Here is a 26,413-nt window from a genome sequence, read left to right on the forward strand (position 1 = left end):
ATTTGTTTGTGAAATGTATCTAAATCCTTTCTAATTAGAAGTCAGTTAAATTTAAAGGATTTGATATATATATATATATATACATTATATATTTTCTGTTATTCATAACCCATTATTTGTAGCCAAAACTTTACCTCTTTTCTATCTTAAGCAACATATTAGAAGCTCTCTGTATTTAATATTCAATTTAAAATATTAATGGGAGCCCAAATTATGTAAAACTAAGATTTCAATTTCCCTCACATAGAAATATTAATATATTTACTATGAAACAGAAAAGGAAAAGGTGCTACTGTTTAGAAACCACCTTGGCCCCCAAAGTACAAAAGATCAGTACTGCTTAACAAAAGAACCAGGCAGATCCTATAGTTAGAAATGACCTGGTTAGATGGGACATATATTTAGTTTTTTCCCCAAGTCCCATAACTAGTGGATAATAAAACTAAAAAGGTAAAGTGCAGGATAACCAAAGGAGGGTTTGGACTGGTTCAGACTCAAAGGTTCTAAGATATCCTAAAACCAGCAGACATATTCACTTAAATCAAAATTTGTGGCAATAGTATCTAACTTCTACCATTGTGTTTTTATTATGCACAAACTATTACTCTATACTTACATATTTCATGTTCTTATCAGGTATTATAAGGGTTAAGAGATAAACTAAAATTGAATCAAGTATATTTACTCTCCACCTGCACATCACAACTATCAAGTTAGAGGAATAAAATTAAAAAGCAATTCACAAGTCATATTACACTGATGACATACATGTATATGTACACGCATTTGCATATATTTATAATTTGAAGAGAAAGTTTATATACTTAACAGCCAACAGATTTAGAAAAAACTATTTGTCCTACTGAATAACAGTATATATGAATTATCAGAATTCTTCATTACTAGTATTCAATAATGAGCTTTTTATGCAATAAATTTACAAATCATTTGCCCCTATTTTCAGAAAAAATTATTAAAGCAACCATGAATATTTAAATCATAAGTTCTGTTTTTAAGGAGTTCAAAACATTTTTACAAGCATGTTAGTAATTTAGTGAGAGGAAATTAAATATCTTCTAGAAACATCTAGTAACTTTTAAGCTAATGTAATAGAGGAAATACTACATTATATGACTTTGTAAAAAGTATTTCTAAAAAAATTTAAAGGGGGCTGGGCATGGTGGCTCATGCCTGTAATCCCAGCACTTTGGGAGGCCGAGATGAGTGGATTGCTTTAGTCCAGGAGTTCGACACCAGCCTGGGCAACATAGCGAAACTCCATCTCTACAAAACAAAAAATTAGCTGGGCATGGTGGTATGCGCCTGTAGTCCCAGCTACTAGGGAGGCTGAGGTGGCAGGATCACTTGAGCCCGGGAGGTTAAGGCCATAGTGAGCCGTGATTGCACCACTGCACTCCAACCAGGGCAACAGAGCAAGACCCTGTCTCAAAAAATATAAAAATAAAATAAAGAGACTTTGAAATCATATCACCTAAGTAATTTTTTGACAATTGAAATGGTGGTGGGAGCGGGGAGGAAGAACCTAACATCAAGACATCCACCTTGTGGAAAGATATGGTAATTACAGGCCTACATTTATTATACATTGGAAGTAAAGTCAAAGTTTTTAGCTATGTACCTACAGTCCTTCAACAACAAATTCAAGCTCAGAAATGCAAAATCCTAATCGTACTATTAAAACTGCTATTACTATATGCTTCCGATACCCATTTGTCTAGTTTTTTTCCAGAGACCTTTTTCTCCATTTTTCATATGAAAACATCTCAGAAGATATTCGTAAGCAAGTGAACATATGAAACTGAATATATGAAAAATATTTTCAAAAAGTAGATTTCTATAAATCCCATTTGCTTATTTAGCTGCAAATTTATTTACAGTGATGATACTAGGAACATACTACTAGTTCAAACAAAAAATGTTTGTTCGAATGAACAACAGAAAGTACTGGTTAGCAGTTCCATAGTTCTATGAAAATAGAGCAGTATTTTTAAAGTAATAAAAATTTTCTTAAAAAACCTTTTCAAAGTTTTTAATCTCAACTGTAAATCTTAAAGATATAAATGGGGAAATTCTAAAAATTCAGTTTTCTTACTAAGCAATGGGAGGAAAGAAATCTGGATATATGGTACATATGACAATAATTTAATGTTTCAAGTTGCAGACATGTTACATATGTGTATTATTCCTTTCTAAATGCAGTTTATTATCCCTTCTCAAAAATACATACACTGAATGTATTACTACAATTCAGGTGTGTTCCCTAAAAGACTGGTCTATACCACCAGTCCATTCTCTGCTTTCCAGATAGCCTACTTCTTAATTATAATGGTGACACCTGATGTGGCAGAAAGCACAATCTCCAGAACCACCTATCATCTTGCTTCAATTTTTACATTCCAAGTTAGATTTGTTTGTTGATATTATTTGCTGGTATTTTATTTTGCTCAAAATTCTACTTGTTTATTCATAGCATATATGATTCTTCCATACTTTAAGTTTTAATTAGATAAGAAACTTATACACTAACTGTATGTGGTTTAACTGTTAATAGGTGGTAACAGAATGGTTAAAGAACTAACTCCAGCAACTGTGAAGCTCAACACTAGGCACTGAACTCAGAGTTGGCAGAATTTGTCACTGTAGACTACAAATTTCATGTTGAATTAAATGCTGTATGAAAACCACTCCATCTATTATTCATTTAAAGGATCTGCTGGCCTTTTAAGTTGGTGTTGGCCATCCATAATACTACGATTTGGTGGCAATGAGATCACTACAGTAATGGCTGTAGAATTTAGTATTTAGGTTTCTGCCTAGCTATACTAACGTAAAATTTCTTCTCTTCCATGTCCTTTTCCATGTGTACTTCTGGGACAGTTACCACCTTACAGCTCTATTTGGTTGAGGACATGCGGTAAACCTACACCAGGGTGTTAGATTACAATCCAGGTAAGAAATTTAAGTCATTAGCTACAATGATCATTTATTTTTAATATGTTTAAAATAGAACAATCAAGAATTTTAGCTATATTAATTAATATACTCATTAGCCTCTGCTATGCAAAATTGATTTAAATCACTATTTCTGTGAAACAGTAAGATAAACTAAGGAAAAATTTTATAATAAAGAACAGAGAGTTCTGATCTATAAGATTTCCCTTCCGAACTTGAAGTCTGCAAACTACAGCCCACAGACCAAATCTGGCCAGCCCCTGCCCTTTTAGTGGCCAGTAAGCTAAGAATGGTTTTTATATATTTAAATGGTTACAATTGAAATGATTATAATAAGCACCGACGTGATACTCTGAAATTTGCCTTCTGGGCCACAAAGCCTACGACATTTTCTGTATAGCCCCTCAGGACAAACTTTGCTAGATCTTGCTCTGAACTTAAAAAATTTAAATAAACATATAATAGAACATTTTAGAAATGAATTACACAGAAGTCAAATAGCTAAATTGTTTTTAAATAAGCTTAAAACCTTTTAACTTCAAATCTATTCCAAATTTCAATACTCATTTATAAACCCAATTGTCTTTGTATTTGACTTGTACAAAATGTACATCAAATTAGGTAAATAAAGCCTCATCATTATTAAAGGCAAGTGTTTCATTAGTGTGACTTCCACTCCTCCAAGTTCCTTTTATTTAAAATTGTTGCTATCACAGCATAAGCTAAAAGTATATTATCTAAAGCTCAAGATGGTACAACATATTGATGTCACTCAACACACCTGTATTCCTAAAATGTTGTTCTCCTGTAGACGTCAATTCAGAATATTTTCATGCGCCTTTAAATAGAAAAACTAAAGCTAACCATTACAAATACATTGTCTTAACAATGAAGTCTATGTACATTTGATTTGCCTATATGATTCCTCTAAGGGTCCAATGAAATGGAAATCTGTATGATTCTGCATGACATTAAAAGCACACATATCCTCATTTTTAAGTAGGGAGTTCATCTCTGTTTTGAGGTGGGCATTCTGGTGAAAACTGAAAAACCTGCTAGACATATTCTAAAAGAGCTGTAACACCATGGAAGGGTTCATTTATTACTCATTTGTGTATCTAGACTTGAGCTCAGTGCATATCATATAATAGATGTTCAAATGGCTGGTTAATACTTTATCAATTACAATGAAAATGCTGACACCATATAGGACTTGAATTTTAGGAGACACATTAGTTCGCTTTGAACTTAGTAAATTCCTACTTAAAACTGCCGTATTGGCCGGGCGCGGTGGCTCACGCCTGTAATCCCAGCACTTTGGGAGGCCGAGGCGGGTGGATCATGAGGTCAGGAGATCGAGACCATCCTGGCTAACAAGGTGAAACCCCGTCTCTACTAAAAATACAAAAAATTAGCCGGGCGCGGTGGCGGGCGCCTGTAGTCCCAGCTACTCGGGAGGCTGAGGCAGGAGAATGGCGTGAACCCGGGAAGCGGAGCTTGCAGTGAGCCGAGATTGCGCCACTGCAGTCCGCAGTCCGGCCTGGGCGACAGAGCGAGACTCCGTCTCAAAAAAAAAAAAAAAAAAAAACAACAAAAAAAAAACTGCCGTATTCATTACTTTGTTCATTCACATTGTTGTAAGCCTACTTTTCCAGACACTCTTTTAGCTTCTGAAAATTGTGATGAATAAGACATACAAGTTTCCTACCACACAGAATTTACAGAAGTGGAGTTTGTGGAGGCAAGGCAGAAATAAAGAAATTTCAGATACCAAAAACTGCTATATGATAGACAGAAATAGTAACATTAATTGGATGGTGAGGGAAGTGCTCTCTAAAGAATTACCACTTAAATGGACACGTGAAAAACAGCAAGAGTTTCCAGGAAAATGGAATCTCAAAACCAAAGAGTTAGAAAAAAGTGAGATTGTTCAAGTAATGCTTGAGGCATACTCAACAAGGCGGAAAGGAGTACAAAATAAGGGTAAAGGGAGGCAGAGGTCAGCTCATGTGGGGCCTTCTAGCCCGTGATATAAAGGCTTGGTTTTAATAAGTTTTAATAATTCAGATGAAAGGCAGATTAATAAAATAAGGCATTTAAAGTAGTATAATTCTGTGGCATTTAGTACATTCACAATGTTATGTAACTACCACCTCACCTCTATCTAGCTCCAAAACATTTCATCACAACATAACTTTTAAGCAGTCACTCCCCATTCTTCCTTTCCCTCATCCCCTGGCAACCACTAATCTGCTTTCTGTCCCTGTGGATTTACCTATTCTGGGCATTTCATATAAATGAAATCCTAAAATATATGACCTGTGTGTCTCATTCTTTCACTTAGAATGTTTTTGAGGTTCATCCACATTGTAGCATGACTATATACTCCTTTCCTTTTATAGCTGAATAATATTACACTGTATGGATATATACCACATTATGTTTATTTATCATCAGTTGACAGCTATTTGGGTTGTTTCCACCTTTTGACTATTGTGAATAGTATTGCTGTGAACATTCTCATCCAAGTGTTTGTTCAATCTGTTTTCAATTCTGCTATATTTTAGATATCTGTCCCTACCCCAATCTCATGTTGAATTGTAATACCCAGTGCTGGAGGTGGAGCCTGGTGGGATTTGTCTGGGTCACGGGAGTGGATCCCTCATGGCTTGGTGCTGTCTTCACAATAGTGAGTTCTCACAAGATCTGGTCATTTAAAAATCAGTGGCATCTGCCCCTGCAACTCACTCTCTTGCTTGCTCCTGCTTTTGCCATGTGACTTGCCTGCTTTCTCTTTACCTTCCACCATGATTGTAAGCTTCCTGAGGCCTCCCTAGAAGCCAAACAAGTGCCAGCACCATGCTTCCTGTAAAGCCTGCAGAACTGTGAGCCAATTAAATCTCTTTTATTTGTAAATTACCCAGTCTCAGATATTTCTTTGTATCAATGTAAGAATGGACTAATACAGAAAGTTGGTACTGAGGAGTGGGACATTGCTATAAAGGTACCTGAAAATGTGGAAGCAGGTTTGGAACTGGTTAAGAGATTAGAAGAGTGAGGAGGGCTCAGAAGAAGAAAGAAAGATAAGGGATCCATATGAACTTTAAAGTAGTTTTTTCCAATTCTGTGAAGAAAGTCATTGGTAGCTTGATGGGGATGGCACTGAATCTATAAATTACCTTGGGCAGTATGGCCATTTTCATGATATTGATTCTTCCTACCCATGAGCATGGAATGTTCTTCCATTTGTTTGTATCCTCTTTTATTTCATTGAGCAGTGATTTGTAGTTCTCCTTGAAGAGGTAGTTCATGTCCCTTGTAAGTTGGATTCCTAGGTATTTTATTCTTTGAAGCAATTGTGAATGGGAGTTCACTCATGATTTGGCTCTCTGTCTGTTATTGGTGTATAAGAATGCTTGTGATTTTTGCACATTGATTTTGTATCCTGAGACTTTGCTGAAGTTGCCTATCAGCTTAAGGGGATTTTGGGCTGAGACAATGGGGTTTTCTAGATATACAATCATGTCATCTGCAAACAGGGACAATTTGACTTCCTCTTTTCCTAACTGAATACCCTTTATTTCCTTCTCCTGCCTGATTACCCTGGCCAGAACTTCCAACACTATGTTGAATAGGAGTGGTGAGAGAGGGCATCCCTGTCTCGTGCCAGTTTTCAAAGGGAATGCTTCCAGTTTTTGCCCATTCAGTATGATATTGGCTGTGGGTTTGTCATAGATAGCTCTTATTATTTTGAGATACGTCCCATCAATACCTAATTTATTGAGAGTTTTTAGCATGAAGCGTTGCTGAATCTTATCAAAGGCCTTTTCTGCATCTATTGAGATAATCATATGGTTTTTGTCATTCGTTCTGTTTATATGCTGGATTACGTTTATTGATTTGCATATGTTGAACCAGCCTTGCATCCCAGGGATGACGCCCACTTGAAAAAGAGCCCGCATTGCCAAGTCAATCCTAAGCCAAAAAAACAAAGCTGGAAGCATCACGCCTACCTGACTTCAAACTATACTACAAGGCTACAGTAACCAAAACAGCATGGTACTGGTACCAAAACAGAGATATAGACCAATGGAACAGAACAGAGCCCTCAGAAATAATGCCACATATCTACAACCATCTGATCTTTGACAAACCTGACAAAAACAAGAAATGGGGAAACGATTCCCTATTTAATAAATGGTGCTGGGAAAACTGGCTAGCCATATGTAGAAAGCTGAAACTGGATCCCTTCCTTATACCTTATACAAAAATTAATTCAAGATGGATTAAAGACTTAAATGTTAGACCTAAAACCATAAAAACCCTAGAAGAAAACCTAGGTAATACCATTCAGGACATAGGCATGGGCAAGGACTGCATGTCTAAAACACCAAAAGCAATGGCAACAGAAGCCAAAATTGACAAATGGGATCTAATTAAACTAAAGAGCTTCTGCACAGCAAAAGAAACTACCATCAGAGTGAACAGGCAACCTACAGAATGGGAGAAGATTTTTGCAATCTACTTATCTGACAAAGGGCTAATATCCAGAATCTACAATGAACTCAAACAAATTTACAAGAAAAAACAACCCCATCAAAAAGTGGGCGAAGGATATGAACAGACCCTTCTCAAAAGAAGACATTTATGCAGCCAAAAGACACATGAAAAAATGCTCATCATCACTGGCCATCAGAGAAATGCAAATCAAAACCACAATGAGATACCATCTCACATCAGTTAGAACGGCGATCATTAAAAAGTCAGGAAACAATAGGTGCTGGAGAGGATGTGGAGAAATAGGAACACTTTTACACTGCTGGTGGGACTGTAAACTAGTTCAACCATTATGGAAGTCAGTGTGGTGATTCCTCAGGGATCTAGAACTAGAAATACCATTTGACCCAGTAATCCCATTATTGGGTATATACCCAAAGGATTATAAATCATGCTGCTATAAAGACACATGCACACATATGTTTATTGTGGCACTATTCACAATAGCAAAGACTTGGAACCAAGCCAAATGTCCAACAATGACAGACTGGATTAAGAAAATGTGGCACATATACACCATGGAATACTATGCAGCCATAAAAAATGATGAGTTCATGTCCTTTGTAGGGACATGGATGAAGCTGGAAACCATCATTCTGAGCAAACTATCACAAGGACAAAAAACCAAACACCGCATGTTCTCACTCATAGGTGGGAATTGAACAATGAGAACACATGGGCACAGGAAGGGGAACATCACACACCAGGGCCTGTTGTAGGGTAGGGGAAGGGGGAGGGATAGCATTAGGAGATATACCTAATGTTAAATGACGAGTTAATGGGTGCAGCACACCAACATAGCACATGTATACATATGTAACTAACCTGCACAATGTGCACATGTACCCTAAAACAAAGTATAATAATAAAAAAAAAAGATAAGGGAAAGCTTGCAGCTTCTTAGAGATTGGTTAAGCGGTTGTGACCACAATGCTGATAGTGATATGGACAGTGAAGTCTCGGTTGAAGAGGTCTCAGATGGAAATGAGGAACTTACAAGGAGCTGGAGCAAAGGTCACACATTTTACGCTGGATGCATTCTGTTCATGCCTTAGGGATCTGTGGAAGTTTGGGCTTGAGAATGATGACCTAAGGTACCTGGTCGAAGAAATTTCTAAGCAGCAAAGTGTTCAAGAAGTGACGTGGCTGCTTCTAACAGCCTATGCTCCCACGTGGGAACAAAGAAATGACTCAACATTGGAAATTATATTTAAACAGAAAATGGAGAGTAAAAGTTTTGAAAATTCACAGCCTGGCTGTGTGGCAGAGAAAGAAAAAGCTATTTTGGGAGAGGAATTCAAGCAGGCTGTGGAGCAACCACTTACTAGAGATAGTGGCATAACTAAAAGGGAACCAAGTGCTACTATCAAGACAATGGGGAAAAGGCCTTGAAGGCATTTCAGAGAACTTTCATTGCAGCCCCTACCACAAGGGGCCCAGAGGCCTAGGGTGGAAGAATGGTTTGTAGGCCAGGCCCAGGGCCCATATCCTGTGCAGCCTCAGGACACTGCTCCTTACATCCCTGACTCCAGCTCCAGCCTCAGCTCAAAGGGCCCCAGATACTGCTTATGCCACCACTCTGGAGAGCACAAGTCACCGTAAGCCTTGGTGGTTTCCACGTGGTGTTAAGCCTACAGGTGCATAGAGTGCAAGAGTGAATGAGGCTTGGCACCCTCTACCTAGATTTCAGATGTATGAGAAGTGGGACATGGAGTTAAGGATTATTTTAGAGCTTTAAGATTTAATGACTACCCTCCTGGGTTTGGGACTTGCATGGTGCCTGTTGCCCCTTTCTTTTGGCTGATTTCTCCCTTTTGGAATGGGAATATTTACCCAATGCCTATACCCTCATTGTATCTTGGAAGTAAGTAACCTGCCTTTGATGTTACAGGCTCATGGGTGGAAGGGATTTATTTGCCTTATCTCAGATGAGACTTTAGACTTGGGACTTTTGAGTTAACGCTGGAATGAGTTAAGACTTTGGGCAACTCTTGGGAAGGCATGGTTGTATACTGCAATGTGAGACGCATATAAGATTTGGGAGGGGCCAGGGGTAGAATGATGTAGTTTGAATATTTGTCCCCACCAAATCTCATGCTGAATTATCATCCCCAATGTGGGAGGTAGGGCCTGGTGGGAGGTGTTTGGGTCCTAGGGGCTGATCCCTCATGACTTGATGCTGTCTTCACAATAGTGAGTGAGCTCTCATGAGATCTGGTCATTTAAAAGCGTGTGGCACCTCCTCCTCTCTCTCTCCCTCCCTCTCTTCTCTTGCTTTCACCATATAACATGCCTGCTTCCTCTTCACCTTCCCTCATGATAAGCTTTGTGAGGCCTCCCTTGAAGGTAAACAGATGTCAGCACCATGCTTCCCATAAAGCCTGTAGAACCACAAGCCAATTAAGCGTCTATTATGTATAAATTATGCTGTATCAGGTATTTCTTTACAGCAATGCCAAAGCAGACTAATAGAAATTCTTTTCGGCATATACCTAATAGAATTGCTGGGTCATATGGTAACTCTTACGTTTAACTTTTTGAGGAACCACCAAACTGTTTTCCACTGTGGCTGCATTCTTTTATACTGCCCCAGAAATGTCCAAGAGTTCCAATTTCTCCACGCCCTCACCAAAATTTATTGTTTTTTTGATTCTAGGTATCAAGTGGGGATAAAGTGGCATTTCATTATGGTATTGATTTACATTTCCCTAATGACTAATCATGCTGAATATCTTTCTGTGTGCTTACTGGCCATCTGTAGGTCTTCTCTGAAGAAATGCTTATTCAAGTCCTTTGGCCATTTGTATTTGGGTTGTGTTTTGTTGTTTGGTTGTAACACTTCTTTATATATTTTGAATACTAGACTCTCAGAGATACAATTTGCAAATATTTTCTCCCATTCTGTAGGGTGTCTTTCCACTTTTTGGGAGTGTCCTTTGATGCACAAAAGTTTTGAATTGTGCTACAGTCCGATTTATCTAATGTTTCTTCCATTGCTTGTATCTGTATCATATTTAAGAATCCACTGCCAGATCCAAGGTCATAAAGATTGACTCCTGCATTTTTTTCCTGCGTTTCAGAGTTTTGGCTCTTACATTTAGGTCTCTAATCCATTAATTTCTGTACATGATCTGAAGTAAGGTTCCATCCTCATTATATTGCATGTGTTTGTCCAATTGTCCCAGAACAATTTAAGAAACTATACTTTCCCCCATGGAATGGTCTTATACCCTTGATGAAACTCAGGTGACCATAGATGGGTGGATTTATTTCTAGACACACAATTACATTCTATTGGTCTAGAGGTCTATCATTATGCTAGTACCACATAATTTCAATAATGTAGGTTTGTCGTAAATTTTGAATTTGGGAAGTATGAGTTCTCCAACTTTATTCATTAGAGTTTTTTGGTTATGCTGGGTCTCTTCCATTTTCATATGATTTTTAGGGTTAGCTTTTCCATTTCTGCAAGAAGACCATTAGGATTTTGATATGGATTGTATTGTATCTGTAGTCTATTTCAGGGAGTATTGCCATTTTAACATATCAAATCTTCCAATCCATGACCATGGGATTACCTTTCCACTTATTTAGGCCATCTTTAATTTCTTGCAACAATGTTTTGTAGTTTTCAGTCTTATACCTCCCTTGGTTAAATTTATTCCTAAGAATTTTAATCTTTTTGATGCTATTGTAAAGGACATTGTTTTCTTAATTTCATTTTTGTATTGTTAATTTCTATTATATAGAAATACAACTGATTTTTCTGTTGATCTTGTATCTTGCAACTTTGCTGAATTTGTATTAGCTTCTAATGATTTTCTTGACTCTGTAGGATTGCTTAGACATAAGATCAAATCACCTGTAAGGAGAAATAGTTTCGTTTCTCCCATTCCCACTTGGAAATCTTTTTCTTTTTCTTGCATCATTTCTAGATCTAGCTACAACTTCTAGTACAATATTGAATACAAGCAGTGAAAGCAGGCATCCCTGTCTTATTCCTGGTCTTGGCAGGGCAGGGGGGCTTTTAGTATTTCCCCATTGAGTATTATGTAAGCTATAGGGCTTCATACGTACTCTTTATCATGTTTTGGAATTTTCCTTCTACTTCCAGTTTTTTGAGTGTTATTATAAAAGGGTATTGGATTTTGTCAAATGCTTTTTGTGCATCAACTAAGAATATTTCTTTTTCTTCCCTCATTCTATTGATATGGTATATTACATTCATTTTCCTATGTTAAGCCACCCATGCTTGGCTGGGATAAATCCATTTGGTCATGGTATGGAATGCTTTTAATGTGAAGCTGGATTTGGTTTGCTATTTTGTTGAGGGTTTGTGCATCTATACTCACAGAGAATATTAGTGTGTAATGACGCCATTGTGTGGTTTGGAATGTTCTCTCCTCTTCTGTTTTCTGGAAGAGTTTAAGAAGGACTGGGCTGGGCATGGTGACTCATGCCTGTAATTCCAGTGATTTGGGAAGCCAAGGCAGGAGGACTACTTGAGGCCAGGAGTTCAAGGCCAGCATGGGATACACAGCAAGACCCCATTCTCTAGAAAATATTAAATAGCTGAGCATAGTGGCACGTGCCTAGAGTCCTAAGCTTACTTAGGAGGCTGAGGCAGGAAGATCACTTGAGCCCAGGAGTTTGAGGTTACAGTGAGCTAAGATCAGACCAACATACTCCAGCCTGGGTGACAGAGTGAGACTCTGTCTCTAAAAAATAAATAAATAAATTTGAAAAAATTAAAAAAACTGGCATTATTTAAATGATAGAATTCTTTGTTGGGAGGTTTTCGATTACTAATTCAACCTCTTTACATGTTATAAGTCTGTTGATATTTTTTATTTCTTCTTGAGTCGGTGTTGGTAATTTGTGTTTTTAGGAATTTATCGATGTCATCTAGGTTAACTAATTTATTGATATATAATTATTCATAGTATTCTCCTAGAATCCTTTTTATTTCCGAAATTTCAGTAGTCATGTCCCTAACTTTCATTTCTCACATTAGTAATTTGAGTCTTCTGTTTATCTTAGTCAGTCTGCTAAAGGTTTATTTTCTTGATCTTTTCAGAGGACCAAATTTTGTTTTTATTGATTTTCTGTGTTGTTTTTCTGTTCTGTTTATCTCTGATCTAGTTCTTCATTATTTCATCGATTCTGACAGCTTTAAATTTTTCTAGTTCTTTAAGGTATAAAGTAAGGTTATTGATTTGATACCTTTCTTACTGTTTATTGTAGGTGCTTACAGCTATAAATATCCCTCCGAGCACTGCTTTCAACGGATCACGTTTTGGTATGTTGCATTTTCATTTGTCAAAGTATTTTCTGATTTCCCTTATGAGTTGTCCCTTGACCCACTGGTTAAGAGTGTGTGTCACTGGAGAGTTTTATGTAAGGGAGTGACATGGTATGATTTATGCTTTAGCAAGACAGTGTTGGCTGCTAAGTGAAAAAAGTGTGGAAGGGAAAGTATAAATGCTGAAAAGCCATTGTAAGAGGCCGTTGAAATTGTCTGTGTGAGAAATTATACTGACATTGTCACAGAGACAGTGCAAGTGGCAGAAAGTATTCAGATGTGGGTCATATTTTGGCAGTAGAATCTATAGGAATTGTTGATGAATTTACTGTTTGGCTAAAAGGAAAATAATTCAGGAATTACTGTTAGGTTTTGGTTTGAATAGTTGGGTAGTTAAAAGTAACTTCATTGAGATAGGAAGACAAAGTTTACTTTTTCTTTGATGAAGAGAAAGAATGGTAAGGGAGACAAATCAAGTTATTTTGAGAGTTGAGATTCTTATTAGAAACGTCAATACAGCAGTATTTATAATGTTCTGATGTCCAAAGTGAAGGTCAGAACGTTTATAAATTTGAGATCATCAACACAGAAATAGTTATTATATGGGACTAGATGAAATTACTTAAGGTGAAAGTACTGACTGAGGAAAAGAAAGAGACTAGGAATGAACCCAAGGAAAAGACACAGAAGAGTAGCAAATACATGCCAGCAGAGGATTTTAAGCATGAAATGCCACTGAGAGGCTATGTTGCCAAATCTAATCTGTTTTTACTTAAATGACTGTTGATTTTGATAAAAGTAGTTTTGATGAAATAGTAGGGGCAGAGCTGCATTGAGGGAAGGAAGCAAAGAAGTTGAGATAGTAACCTGAGAAGATTATTCTGATATATTCTCTGTAAAAGTGAATGGATAATTATATGGGTAGGGCAGTGGTTTCAGGAGAACTTGATGTCAATGGAAGCCTATTTATTTACTTATTTACTTATTTAATTAACATGGACTATAAAAATCAGGAGAGGAAAATCAAAGATAATGGGATTAAAACCCATTAATCACTAGTAGGGTGATTGTTCTTAAATAAACAAATCTGCTATTGGACTGAAAGAGAAATCAGAAAATGCTGGTCTTGATGCAGGAAACATGTTAGATTTTAGGGTGAAGATGAGAAAATTATGAGGTTAGACAATCAGCTCAAAGGTAAAGAATCAAGGAAAGAGGTATTTATATGCAATAATACTCTGGAAATGTGGTAAAGCCAATTAAAGAGAGCAGAGTAAGGACTGTTGAGCAATGTTGAGTGCCCATTTGAAGTACGTGGCCATACATTTAAAGCCTGATTGTATTATTTTCTCCTGTGCTGTTCAATTGGTAGAATGACAGCTAAGAATTAGTGGATAAGGTTGACAGGAAGAGAAAGGGCAAGAGAGTATTATTTTGAACTCTGGCATCTAGAATGGGTAAGGAAGGAAGGACAGACAAGAAGGTAACAGGAATAGAGAAAAAGTATAAATAGCCTGAGACTACTATACAAAGCAAGTTGGAAAGATAGGCTGGAGTGATAATGTTGGAAATTGAGGTTTAGAGGGGCACAACTGCTGGTAATGATAGGATTTTAGAAGAGTTGGAAAGAATAAAGAACCTGGGATGGATTACACATATAGTACAGTATTGAAATCAAGTATGAGGTATGATTTAGGAGTCTTGGAAATTTGGCTGACGATGAGGTAAACAGGGTGATAAGACATGATGCAATTAGTCTCACAGGGCAAGATGGATTTGCAAGTCCTGAGTGGTATTTAATATTGTAACGCTGTCACTCTCTTAAAATAGCAACCCCGCTACTCTATCAATAAATCTTAGCTGATGCTAATAATTGCATAAAGCTGACCAAAATGAGAAGGGTTTTAAGAAGCCAGTTTTCCCACTGTTTAATTACTGGTATTATTTTTGAATAATACTCTGCTACCATTAAATAGACAAGGGATAGTAAAGCTACTTAGCATTATACTTTGGATCAAATAAATATCCTTCTTCAGATACCCAATGTTCACAAAATAGGAATATAATGATTTATATTTATTCAAGTGACATAAGCATTTATTTCAACTTCATTAAAAGCAAATCAAATGTATACTCATTTTTATAAATTAATCTAGCAAGATATTACAATGACTACTAGATTAAAAGTATTTGTCAAACAGCCTGGTTATGAAATAGGACTTCTATATTGAATTAACATATTTAGGCAATGTAGTAGCTTTTTTAGGCCATTTAGTGCTTCCTAATACATTAGAGCCATATCTGAATAAATGTTTCCAACAGTGTGCTGAAAGTACTGATCTACCACTCAGTTATACATTTTAAACTAGGGACTTCCTCCCCCTTGTAAGTGTGGCTAAATTTTTATTAGTTGAATTCTAAGTTATTAAACATATTTTAATTATATTCATCCCCAAACTGCATTGATTCAAAAACACATTTTATGTAATAATACATTTTACACAATAAAATTTAATTTATTAAAGAAACTCATTTTATGAGTATAATTAACTCAAAAAGTTTCTTAAAGCTTTTATCTCCAAAATTAAAAAAAAATATTGTATAGACAGAAGTCTTCTGGGCTTGGACTCATGTTATAGTGGTTCCCTCTCATCCATTAAAAGACATTTTTTTTTAATTTGAGGGTTCCTATAAAGGGTACACTTGCTTCGGTGACATGTATATTTTTCTCTTTGTAGGACTATTCTTATTTCCTCAGTTATATACAGAGAATAATAATTAGATAAAGTATGGTGATAAAAACTAGATTTCACACATTAGCATTTCTTTCATGAGACATGAATACTGACATCAGTTCTCTGCGTACATTAAGAAGCTCCTCTTCTAGCTATAGCCAAGAAAAAAAAAATCACACTTAGATTTCACATTTTCGCTGTAAAACCACCAAATAAAATAGAAAAAAAAAAATCAAGCTGTTATTAGTGATTCATTTTAAAACAACTTCTTTCATGAAGATATTGCATTCTAACAGGTCTACAGATATCCACAGAATTCTGTGATCATTACTGATATTCAAGACAATCAGTTGAGAGAAGGCTCTAATCTTTTAAAGCCCCAAATCAGTGAAATTTAGATTCAATTTTTAAAGGAAGAGAGTAAAATTAAAAGTCTAGAAAACAATTTCAACAAGGATCAACCTAGTTAAGTAGCTTGTTTGCTTGAAGCTAAACTAGCTTAGCCACAACATCTTGATCCTGTACTATGTCAGCATATTGAGGTTCTATCTTTGTAAGTACATTAATATACTGTGTATACAAAGATCAGTGTACTTAAAAATGCCTTTCATCTTTGAGAAAACTCCAAAGACATTATCACTTAAAACAGTACCTTTAGTCCCTTCCCAGGTCCATCCACATTTCCCCCCAGAATGCAGCTGCTGGTCTACTAGGCCACTGGAAAGTAAACTAATTTAATCCTCAAATCTAAGTAAATGACATCTTGTCCAAACAGACAGTAATTCTTCCACTAAACTACAGACTTTCTGGGAGTTTTGTCCTGCCATATTTTCTCCTTCAGAAGACACAGCAGGACAGACGCCTGCTGCAGTACCCAGTGTTTAGAAACTGCAAACAAATCATTCTTTCAGATAATTTTTCAATTTGCAAATTTATATTCTCTTTTACTCCTTAGGAGGGCCTGTTTAAATTACCCCTATTCTTTCACTATAAATATGCTCCCATTATTTAAAGAACTAAAAGTAATTGGGCTAAAACTATTTTCTCTCAACCCAAAAGAAAAAGAAAGACATAAAAGCACACACACAAAAAAATCAAAAACAAAAGACATTAAAGTATGATTATCCCATTTTCAAACTTAGTTGACTTACCATGTCCTTAAGAAGCCTGTCTTGCAGCACTTTCATATCTTCTTTCATCAAACACATCTGTAAAAAAGTAAATATATTTCACCCATGAAATTTACCATAAAGTTTTCACAGCAAAGACAAAGTTACATTAACAAATTCTTTTTGTAATCAAGAGAGGTAACCTATAAAAAGCATAAAATTTATACCTCGGATGTAAAAACAGTTTCTTCACTATCAGTATTACAGAAGACACTTTTAGCCAATGAAGTTTTCAAAAGATGAAGCCTAAGAAGTAAAATAATGAGTTAACCTTGTATTTATCAATAATTCAAATTAGAGTGCTATAATATAGTATATATAATTTTAATTTTTCAAATAGAAATTTATTAATTTAAAAATCTAATTTTATAGATTATAGCCATTAAGAATGTCATACTAACCTCTGTTGTTCGCTTTTTTGATATGCACTGAACTTCTGAAATATCTTTTCCCAAAAGTCCTAAATTAATTAATAAAATTTTATTTAGTCCTAAATATTTTAGTCCTAAAATAAAATCCAGTTAAACTTTAATATGATTAAAAATTAAAATCCAACAGTAGAATTACTCTATTTCTATTATTACAAATTTAAATAAACAGTATGGCTATATGTTAAAAATATTCCAGATGTCATATGCTCTTTCAAATTAAAATAAAATTGAAAGTAAAATCTCTCAGGATTTCTCATTATCAAAGATATTCATCATAAATTTAAGTTCGTACTTCAAAAGTGTTTCTATGAAGCTGATTAGAAATCTAAGATAAAACTAAATTATTTTCTGAACAAAAAGCTTTAGGATGTGCTCCCAAAAAAGAAAGTTTTTCCAAGTATAGCTCTTTAAAAATAAGGTTTTAAACTTATTTAAAAAATTTTTAAAGTAACAAACCACAAATTCCTTTTCCAAATCTTTTAAAGACTGTGAATCTTTTTCAAAATTCTCCAGCTCCTCTATGATAATGAATTGGAATTTATCAAGTTTTTTAATCCTATTACAGAAACAAAATGAGATTAATTTTAAAAACTGTAGCATTCAGAATATAGGAATATGTAGCATTCAAAAGTTTTCAGAACAGATTTTTATTACAGACCTAGAGTCCTGACTTTGATGATTCATTGTTCTCAGATGTTGCTGAGCTGTTTTCCAAGACTGCGTAGTAAAATAACTCAACATTTTATGTCGGATCTGAAAAATACTCATTTTTAAGTTAAAATATCTTTACAAAATAACACTCTAACCAAGACTACAGTAACAGCAAATAATTTTCCACGAAATGTAAATTACTAAGAAGAACTTGGAAAAGTGAAAAATTAAAAACTCAGTTATTTAAACTGAAGTGTTAATAGACACTGCTCTGAGTGAACTTATTTAACTCCATCAGTAGGTCTTTGACTAAGGGTTGAGTCCACAATTGTTTTCATAAGAACCCCACACTCTACAGTATTTACAAAAATGCTGATGGTTATAATTCTCTTCAAAGACACAGCCTAAAAGTCACACTCAGAATTTTTTAAAACCATTTTTTTCACAAAAACATAAATCTAGCTACAGACACATAGGAGAATATATAAGTCAAAGCTTCTCTATTCAGATTAGGTTGGCCTTGGGCCAAAAAAAAAAAAAAAAAAAAAGAAACAGAAAAAACAAGCAATTTCTAATTTTAACCCTGAATATAGGAGAAAGGAAAGCAAGACTGGGGGCGGGGGGGGGGGGGGAGGGTGTTGATAACCTGTGCCCAAAATATCTTTTATTCAAAGGAGGGCATAAAAAACTAAAAAACTATCGATTCCAAATAGAGGCATGTGAAAGAGATAGGCAGAAATATATTACTAATAATTAAAAACTGTTTTAAAAAGCATTTTTGCATTATCTCACTGGAACCTCAAAAACTAAGACTACATAACTATAATACAAAACTAGTAAAACAAAATGAAATGGTATTGCTCTGACTGCAGCTGCTCATTCTTTATACTACACTATACTATCTTCATTAATGCTCACCTAAATGACATAAAAAATGTCTTGAAAAGTGGCATGAAAACTGTCCAGTAAAAAAAAAAAAAAAATCACAGAAAAGCCAAAACATTAAACTGAAAAGGAAAATAGGACAAAAGAGAAAAAAGTAGTAGCAAAAGAAAGAATACGGGTAATATACAGATTTTATTCCAATTATTCACATATAAGGAAAGTTGGTTTCATGAATGGATATTTTGTTGCCAAAGGATCAAACAAGCCAATGGTCTAGTAGAAAGTGTGGCATATTATTATATTATTGGGTATAAATCATAATTTAAAGAATAACTCACATTATTCCTTCTCTTAAATTCTGAATTGAGCCTCTCGTAAGTCTCATAAGTCATCTCTATCCCTGCAAATTCATTTTGCCAGGTCTCCCAAGGAATAGAAAAGTCATTTGTTGATAATGAAGATACACTTTCAGACACTAAAAAATGAAAACAATCTGCTGAAGTTAAAATATGCATTACTCTAAATTTAGCCTTGTAATTAGGCTAAGAACAAAATCTATCTTATTTTCCGAATCTATGTGTAACCTAAGGATTATGAAATCAAAGGCAGAAGAGTTCCTTATGTTTTTTTTAATTTAAAAATCAGATTATTCTGATTTATAAAACAAACTTTTTGGTATGGCTATTACAGCAGAAATGACTACTTTAAGCTGGAACATTTATGGATTATTTTTAACTGCTTTTTAACTAGTTCCACATTATTATTAGGTATTTAGTGAGGTACTAGCACATCAGTAAATTCATACTCTAGTTAACCTAAATGTGATAGTAAGTGACAGAATGATGAGGGAGATCTATGGGCATCTAAGACCCTTACTACAACAATTATTCATATAAATGTGAACTTTGCAATAAAGCATCATCCATCTTGGACATATCCAAAGTTGTCTTTACAAATTTGTTTTGTAAATAGACTCATTCAAAATATAAGAACCACCCTCCAAATAACTGCATTTTGATACAGGCTACTGATCTACCTACTTTTGTGGATATGATGATCTGCATCTTCAATTTTACACAGTTTTTTGGGAAGCAAGTTTGCTCTCCTTTCTCCTTTCTCTTCCATTTCTACTTCATTGGAATTACTTAGATTATCTTCTATATATATTCTTTTGCGACTAAGATGTTGGGTGGGGCCTTAGGAACAGTTAAAGAAAGTTAAAAGCGCTGCAATTTTCATTAAAAATACCTCATATTTTCTTGCTTTTATTTTAAAAAGGCTTTGTTTCCACTAAGTATTTTTATTATGTTTTAGGTAATTATGCATTCAATTCTACCTAGTTTATTTTCTTTTTACATTAAGTTGAATAACGGTATGACTTAAAATACATAATTCCTTTAGTTGAAATGTCACGTAGCATTTCAGTAATCATTTTTTAAAAAGCAAGACTATGACTACAAACCTGATACATGAGTAGCATCACAGGGCATGTCAAACCACGTTTTCTCTCTTCCTTCACTAGACTTGGATAATGAAGATGCTAAATGACTTTCCTAAAATACGTATTAGAAATTAGAAAAAAATTCCGTAAATATATTTCAATTCACATTTTATCACCTTTCTCAAACCCAAAAACCAATAATTTTAAATGCTGTCAATTCTTTCTCAGATTGTTTCTATCCCTTCCTTTTCATCTCTAATATTTACCATGTGTTAACCTTGATTCTAAGTTGACCTCAATCTTCTTGTAATAGCTGTGATGTGAGCTACTTTTTTTTCTATTCCTGCTTTTCATTTCTTTATTAGGATTTCCATTTCTTTGAGTCAGGAAATGAGGAGCCACAGAAAACTAAAGTTTAAACTACTCGTCTTTCAAACCACATCTTTCACATCTAACCTTATGTTATACTATTTGAATATACAGGTTTTACTTAGTAACCTTTACATAGGTTACTGATTTTTCTCCACTTAATCTACATATACCTACCCATCCACTTAGGTCTAGCTCAAATCGCAGCCCTCTCCAAGTTGTAAAATTCTGTCTTGATTTTCTATATTTTACAGGTTACTAAAATATTTTTATTGATGGATGGATGGGCTTTTATGCTGGCAGGAAGTTCAACCAAATACCTATATATTCACGAAACCAGAAAGTGCCTATTGTAAATATGCAATCCGGGGTTCAGCAGTGGTATCCTCACTATTTAAGACCTTACTACTCTCATTTTAAAAGTTTCAACTTTCTTCTATCAAAAAATATTTTTCTATGATCAAGCCATTCTATATACTTTAAACATCAGATTTTCAGGTAATAACAGTTGAAAAGCATTAAAATATTATAATTACCACTAAAGGTCAGTAATCTGAGTCTTATAAGAACCATCTTAGTGTAAGGAAAATTTATAAGTTATAGTCCCACACTTACCTCTCTTTTGCTTTGTATATAATTTTCATTGATATGTGGAGATTCAATTTCCATAAACCGTTCTTCTGAACTATAACTGCTTACATCTGAATAGCTGTTACTGTTTTGTGTTTCTTGTGTAAGTACCAGAGAACTTATTTTTTTTCTATTTACAATAGTATTACTCTTAGTTGGAGTATGTCTGGGCTATGAATGAAGACATACAAAAACCCAATAAGAAGTTACAAAATTGTTCAAAGCCCCCCACTTCAAAAAGAGTTGAACATAAGAAACATTAAAGCAAAACTGCAAAACTACTAATTCACTGCAAAAATTCAATTCCAATTCATAACTAAAAATAAAAAATCCTTAGGCAAGTGGATTATTACTTTGATGACCAAAACCTGTAGATAAGGATCCCTGCTAGTACAGTTTCTATGCTCCAGAGGTCAAAGTCACCTTAACAAGAACACGAATAAGAATTTTTTGCATTTTCTGTTCTAATCTTCATGTGTAACAGTTTATATGGCTGTCTATACAGAAAAGCCAAGAGAATCTAGGCAGACAATCATGATAAAATTCAGCAAGGTTGTTGGAGATAAAACAATCAATAGTTTTTCTATATAAAAATTTTAAAACTCAGAAAATGTAATTTTTAAAAAAAGTCTTTTTTTTAATACAGCAAAAAGAAGACCCATAAAATACTTAAGAATTAATCTAACAAGATGCATAATTTCCTTTGTAGGAGACTTCACCCAACTTTGCAGGAAATAAGACAAAAAAGTGGAGAGAGAAATCATGTGTAGATAAGAAAGATCAACATCAATATTGAAAAATGGCAATTCTTCCCTTAGACAAACTAATTCTAAAATGTATATGAATCAGTAAAGGGCAAAGGAATTCTGAGGAATGGTGGGGCAGGGGGTATGTAACACCCTATAAATGTAAAATGACCCCAATTAAAGCAATGCTGGTATTAGCACAGAGATAGATAAACAGGCCAGTAAACAGTAAAATCTAATGGTGCCTAATCCAGGCCCATGTGATCACCCAGCCTATGACTAAATTAAGACTATTCCACTCCTGATGTCGCACTAATTTGATATCCATATGAAAAAGAAAGCCTGGAGAGACTCAAATCTAAAATTTGAGTCAAATTTAGACTCAAATCTAAAATAAGAAAATATTTTTATGACAATAGCTTAGGGGAAGATTTCTTAAACAACCCAGAAGATTGGTAAATTTGATTATGTCCTATCTTTTGTCATAGGGAAGTTGTGTAATTAACTGAAAATATACATACTAGGAAAAGAATGTTTACATTATATACAACGAATAAAGAATATCCAGAATATATTAAGAACTCATACAAATTTGTAAGAAAAATCAAGCAATGCAATTTAAAAATAAGAAAACAAACAGGAAATTCACAAAATGGCCAAAATCATGTGAAAATACTCATTGATGCAATGAGTCAGGAAAATGCAAATTAAAGACACAACTTTATGCTTACCAGACTGGCAAAAACAGAAACAACTGATAACATCTACTTAGTTAAAACTGTAGAGAAATGAGCACTATCTCATAGCAGTGTTGAGAGTGTAAGTAGGTTCAACTACCATATAAAGCAAATTTCCAACACCTTATTAAGAGTTGACAGTAAAGGGGCAGCATGGGGGAATGTCTCATGAGTGTCCAGCCAATGAATATGTAACTGTTAAAATTCCATCTAACACAGAGTAGCATCAAAGATGGTGGGTGGGGATTACCTAGGCTTGGAGATTTTGCAAGGTGGCATACTGAAGGGATTAAAGGATGCGGGGGAAAATAAGAATGACAGAAACAAAGGGATTGGTTCTAGGACCTCTTGTGGATATCAAAATCAGAAGATGCTCAAATCTGTGATATAAAATGGTTCAGTATTTGCATATAACCTATACACATCCTCCCATATACATAAGTAATCTCTAGATTACTTATGATACCTAATACAATGTAAATACTCTTAAATAGTTGTTATATGTGTTGTTTAGGAAATGGTGACAAGAAAAAAAAGTCTGTACATGTTCAATACAGACACAATTAAAAATATATATTGTTGTCTGTGGTTGAATCCACAGATGTGGAACCCACAGATATGGAGGGCCAACTATATTGATAAAGGATCACAGGAGAATTTGTGTGAATTTCACTAGTGTGAAACTGGGTTTCAAATTGTGGTCTGTAGAAACTCAGAGTTTTGAAAATATGCCTTGGGGATTATTTGGGAGAAGGAGGTGAAGGAGGCTAGGTAGATCTAGGGTTTAGATCTCCTACCTCTACTTTAAACAGCATAGTTCTACTTTTATCTTTCTGACACACAATGGTCCCTCTTAGCTGCAGTTTTGCTTTCCAGGGTTTCAATAACTCATGCTCAACCATGGCCCAAAAATATTAAATGGAACATTCCAGAAATCATTTATAAGTTTCAAATTGTGCACAATTCTGTGTGGTGCCATGAAATCTCTGGCCATCGGGTTGTCCTGCCTGGGATATGAATCATCACTTTGTCCAGCATATCCATGCTGTATATGCTACCTGCCTGTTAGTCAAGTAATAGCCATCTCAGTTATCAGATTGACTGTGGAGATATCGTAGTGCTCAAGCAACCCTTATTTTACTAAATAATGCCCCTCAAAAGCAAGAGTAGTGATGCTGTAGTGTATTGTTATAGTTGTTGTTTTGTCATTGTAATAATTTATAAATTGCATATTTATAAGTTAATGTTTAAATTAAACAATCATAGGTATGTATGTATAGGAAAAAAAGATAGTATATATAGCATTCAGTGCTATCCTCCATTTCAGGCATCTATTGGGGGGGTCTTGGAACGTATTCCCTGAGAATAAGGGGTGATTACTGTACAGAGTACAGGTAAGAGTTTTGTAACAGGAATGATCACTTCCTAAGAGATACTACTAATTGTTCTACACATTAGAACTACACACATTTTCTAGATCTGAATAGGCTTATTCCTGCAATGCAGGTACTTCTTTCAGATTTCACCATAATTTAAAGTCTATGGCCTTTAATAAACTTTAGTTACAAAAATTACAAGTTGACAAAGTAAATTGATAATTTAGTTGAAAACAGTGTAATTACAATATTTGGTTTAGGTGTTTATAAGGAAGTTTAACAGGTAAATGGTAGGAATATAAAAAGTAAATATATATTGAAAAGAAATTCTTCATTCTTCCTCATCTATGTATCACATTATATGTATCATTTCTTCTTAAAATATAGTAGACCCTCCTGAAATCACAGATAGTACCTCACCCTATTATACTATGCACAGATTTCTTTTTCCTAATTTCATGGAAAGATGATTCATTCTTACCATAGATCTTAGCAACTTCCACATACCTTATTTTTGGTTCCTTATTAAGCACAGAATATTCACCATTTCACTTAAAGGAAAACTTTATGGCTTCTCTTTGGCCTATCTGAATTGTCAGCATCAATACTCTTGCCCTTTGGCGGTATTGTTAAGTAAAATAAGGGTTACTTTAACACAAGCACTGCAATACCTCTACAGTTGATCTGATAACCAAGATGGCTACTATGTGACTAACAGGCAGGTAGGGTATACAGCAGCATGGATACTCTGGACAAAGGGTTGATTCACGTCCCAGGAGGGACAGAGTGGATGGCTCAATATTTCATCACACTATTCAGAATTACACACAATGTAAAACATATGAATTGTTTATTTCTGCAATTTCTTATTTAATATTATCAGACCACAGTTGACTGTAGGTAACTGAAACCTCAAAAAGTGAAACCACAAATAATGAGAAACTACTGTACTCTCCTGCTACCACATTCTTCCTCCTGTATAGCTATACATTTATTTGTCTGTTAGGTTCATCAAGACTGGCAAGTATCTCTCTCTTGTCATTATGTCCCTCTCCCCCAAGACCCTAGACCAAACCCAAAACCTTAAATAGACAAGCAATGTGTATCTGATTAAGATGATAGGGAAAATAACTTACTACCTTCAGATATATCTGATAAAGAGAAAAATATATATACATTCTCACCAAAAACAGTGGTCGTGGAATTGGTGAACAACTTTCACTTGCACACAGGAAGTTTTTCTCATTGTTTTTGGGTGACTTTATTGTACCTCCAACTCCACTGTTACTATTTAAGGATTCAAGTGATGAAGTTTTTGGATAAGGTGATATAGATTTTGTTATGCAGTCATAATCCTGAGTAAAATCCTTTTCTGTTATTTTCTCTATACCTATATTGCATCAAAATAAAAAAGAAAATAGATGGCAAGCGTTATCATTGATGTCTGCTTTAGAAATAGCACGATTAATTTAAATTCTAAGAATTTGTCAGATCTTCAAATCTTAGCTATAAAAAAGGATAGCTTTAAAAATATTAAGACCAAGTTATATTTAAAATATTTGTAAGACTGAAAAACAAAATGGCTGAATTTAAAATGTACTTGTAACCACAAGAACTTTCAAAACATTTTCCAACAAAAATATCTACAGTATGACCTGAAATATAAGGATCAACCTAAGTATTATCTTGAGTATTCTGACATCATAGCTGATTGTGTTATATATACACATCACAAAATTTTATGATTGAAAAAGGCTTGAGAAATCATCTGCTCTACATCTTTCACATAAAAATTAGAAAATTTACTGCTGGAATAAATCTTAATATAAATAAATCCTCAGACAATTTTCAGATCGAATCAGGGCATGTACATCTATCTCCTGAGTATGCGCTTATGTGAAATTTCATAGTGGTCCTTAGTACTGAGAACACAATAGCTACTTTAGAGGAAGCAGAAGTATACTAACTGATTTAAGTCTTGTATTTTAACTGAAATGATTAGCATTTAGAAATGCTTTAAAATGTCCTTACAAGGAAACAAAAATGGTATAAAAAGGGCAAACTTATACTTTCTATACTAGAAAGGCATACACATATACCAGAGCTCCAAAGAATATGAATTTTTCTTTAGCAATCATTTAAAAATAAAAGCATAACCTCAACTGTATACGGTATTAATCCACTGTGGGTCCACAGAATGAGCAAGATATTCTTTGGACTTTTGTTAATGAAATGTAAATAGAAAAAACAGAATTCTCCAAAAATTCTCATGTTATTAAATATATATTGAGCTAAAAAAAAGCACATTAAAATTAAGTACTTTTTTAAGATTAAGTTATAATTTGTGAATATATATTATTTTCCATATTAAAGCATTTGATCTTTAACTTCCTAACATGAAAAACATCAGT

General features: G+C 34.6%; 1 protein-coding gene and 1 pseudogene across 12 annotated transcripts in view; both read right to left on the bottom strand.

Moving 5' to 3' along the window:
- RNU7-141P (RNA, U7 small nuclear 141 pseudogene) lies at positions 3,998 to 4,059 on the bottom strand (annotated as a pseudogene).
- Positions 14,902 to 26,413, bottom strand: part of SYCP2 (synaptonemal complex protein 2) — a 70,067-nt gene continuing 58,555 nt past the window's right edge. For 10 of the 12 annotated variants that reach the window (XM_011528490.4, NM_014258.4, XM_017027587.2 and 7 more), the window contains 11 exons: positions 25,187 to 25,392; positions 21,129 to 21,314; positions 20,166 to 20,256; positions 19,744 to 19,899; positions 19,042 to 19,178; positions 17,826 to 17,920; positions 17,624 to 17,723; positions 17,138 to 17,196; positions 16,904 to 16,982; positions 16,719 to 16,775; positions 14,902 to 15,719 (listed from right to left, as the gene is read on the bottom strand). In XM_011528490.4, the coding sequence (XP_011526792.1) occupies positions 15,642 to 15,719; positions 16,719 to 16,775; positions 16,904 to 16,982; positions 17,138 to 17,196; positions 17,624 to 17,723; positions 17,826 to 17,920; positions 19,042 to 19,178; positions 19,744 to 19,899; positions 20,166 to 20,256; positions 21,129 to 21,314; positions 25,187 to 25,392 (1,244 nt within the window). In that variant the 3' untranslated portion in view covers positions 14,902 to 15,641. The remainder of the gene's footprint in view (positions 15,720 to 16,718; positions 16,776 to 16,903; positions 16,983 to 17,137; positions 17,197 to 17,623; positions 17,724 to 17,825; positions 17,921 to 19,041; positions 19,179 to 19,743; positions 19,900 to 20,165; positions 20,257 to 21,128; positions 21,315 to 25,186; positions 25,393 to 26,413) is intronic. The other 2 variants (XM_047439828.1, XM_047439826.1) reach the window with 1 other exon arrangement.

This window comes from Homo sapiens, chromosome 20 (assembly GCF_000001405.40).
Source record: "Homo sapiens chromosome 20, GRCh38.p14 Primary Assembly".
Lineage (NCBI taxonomy): Eukaryota > Metazoa > Chordata > Mammalia > Primates > Hominidae > Homo > Homo sapiens.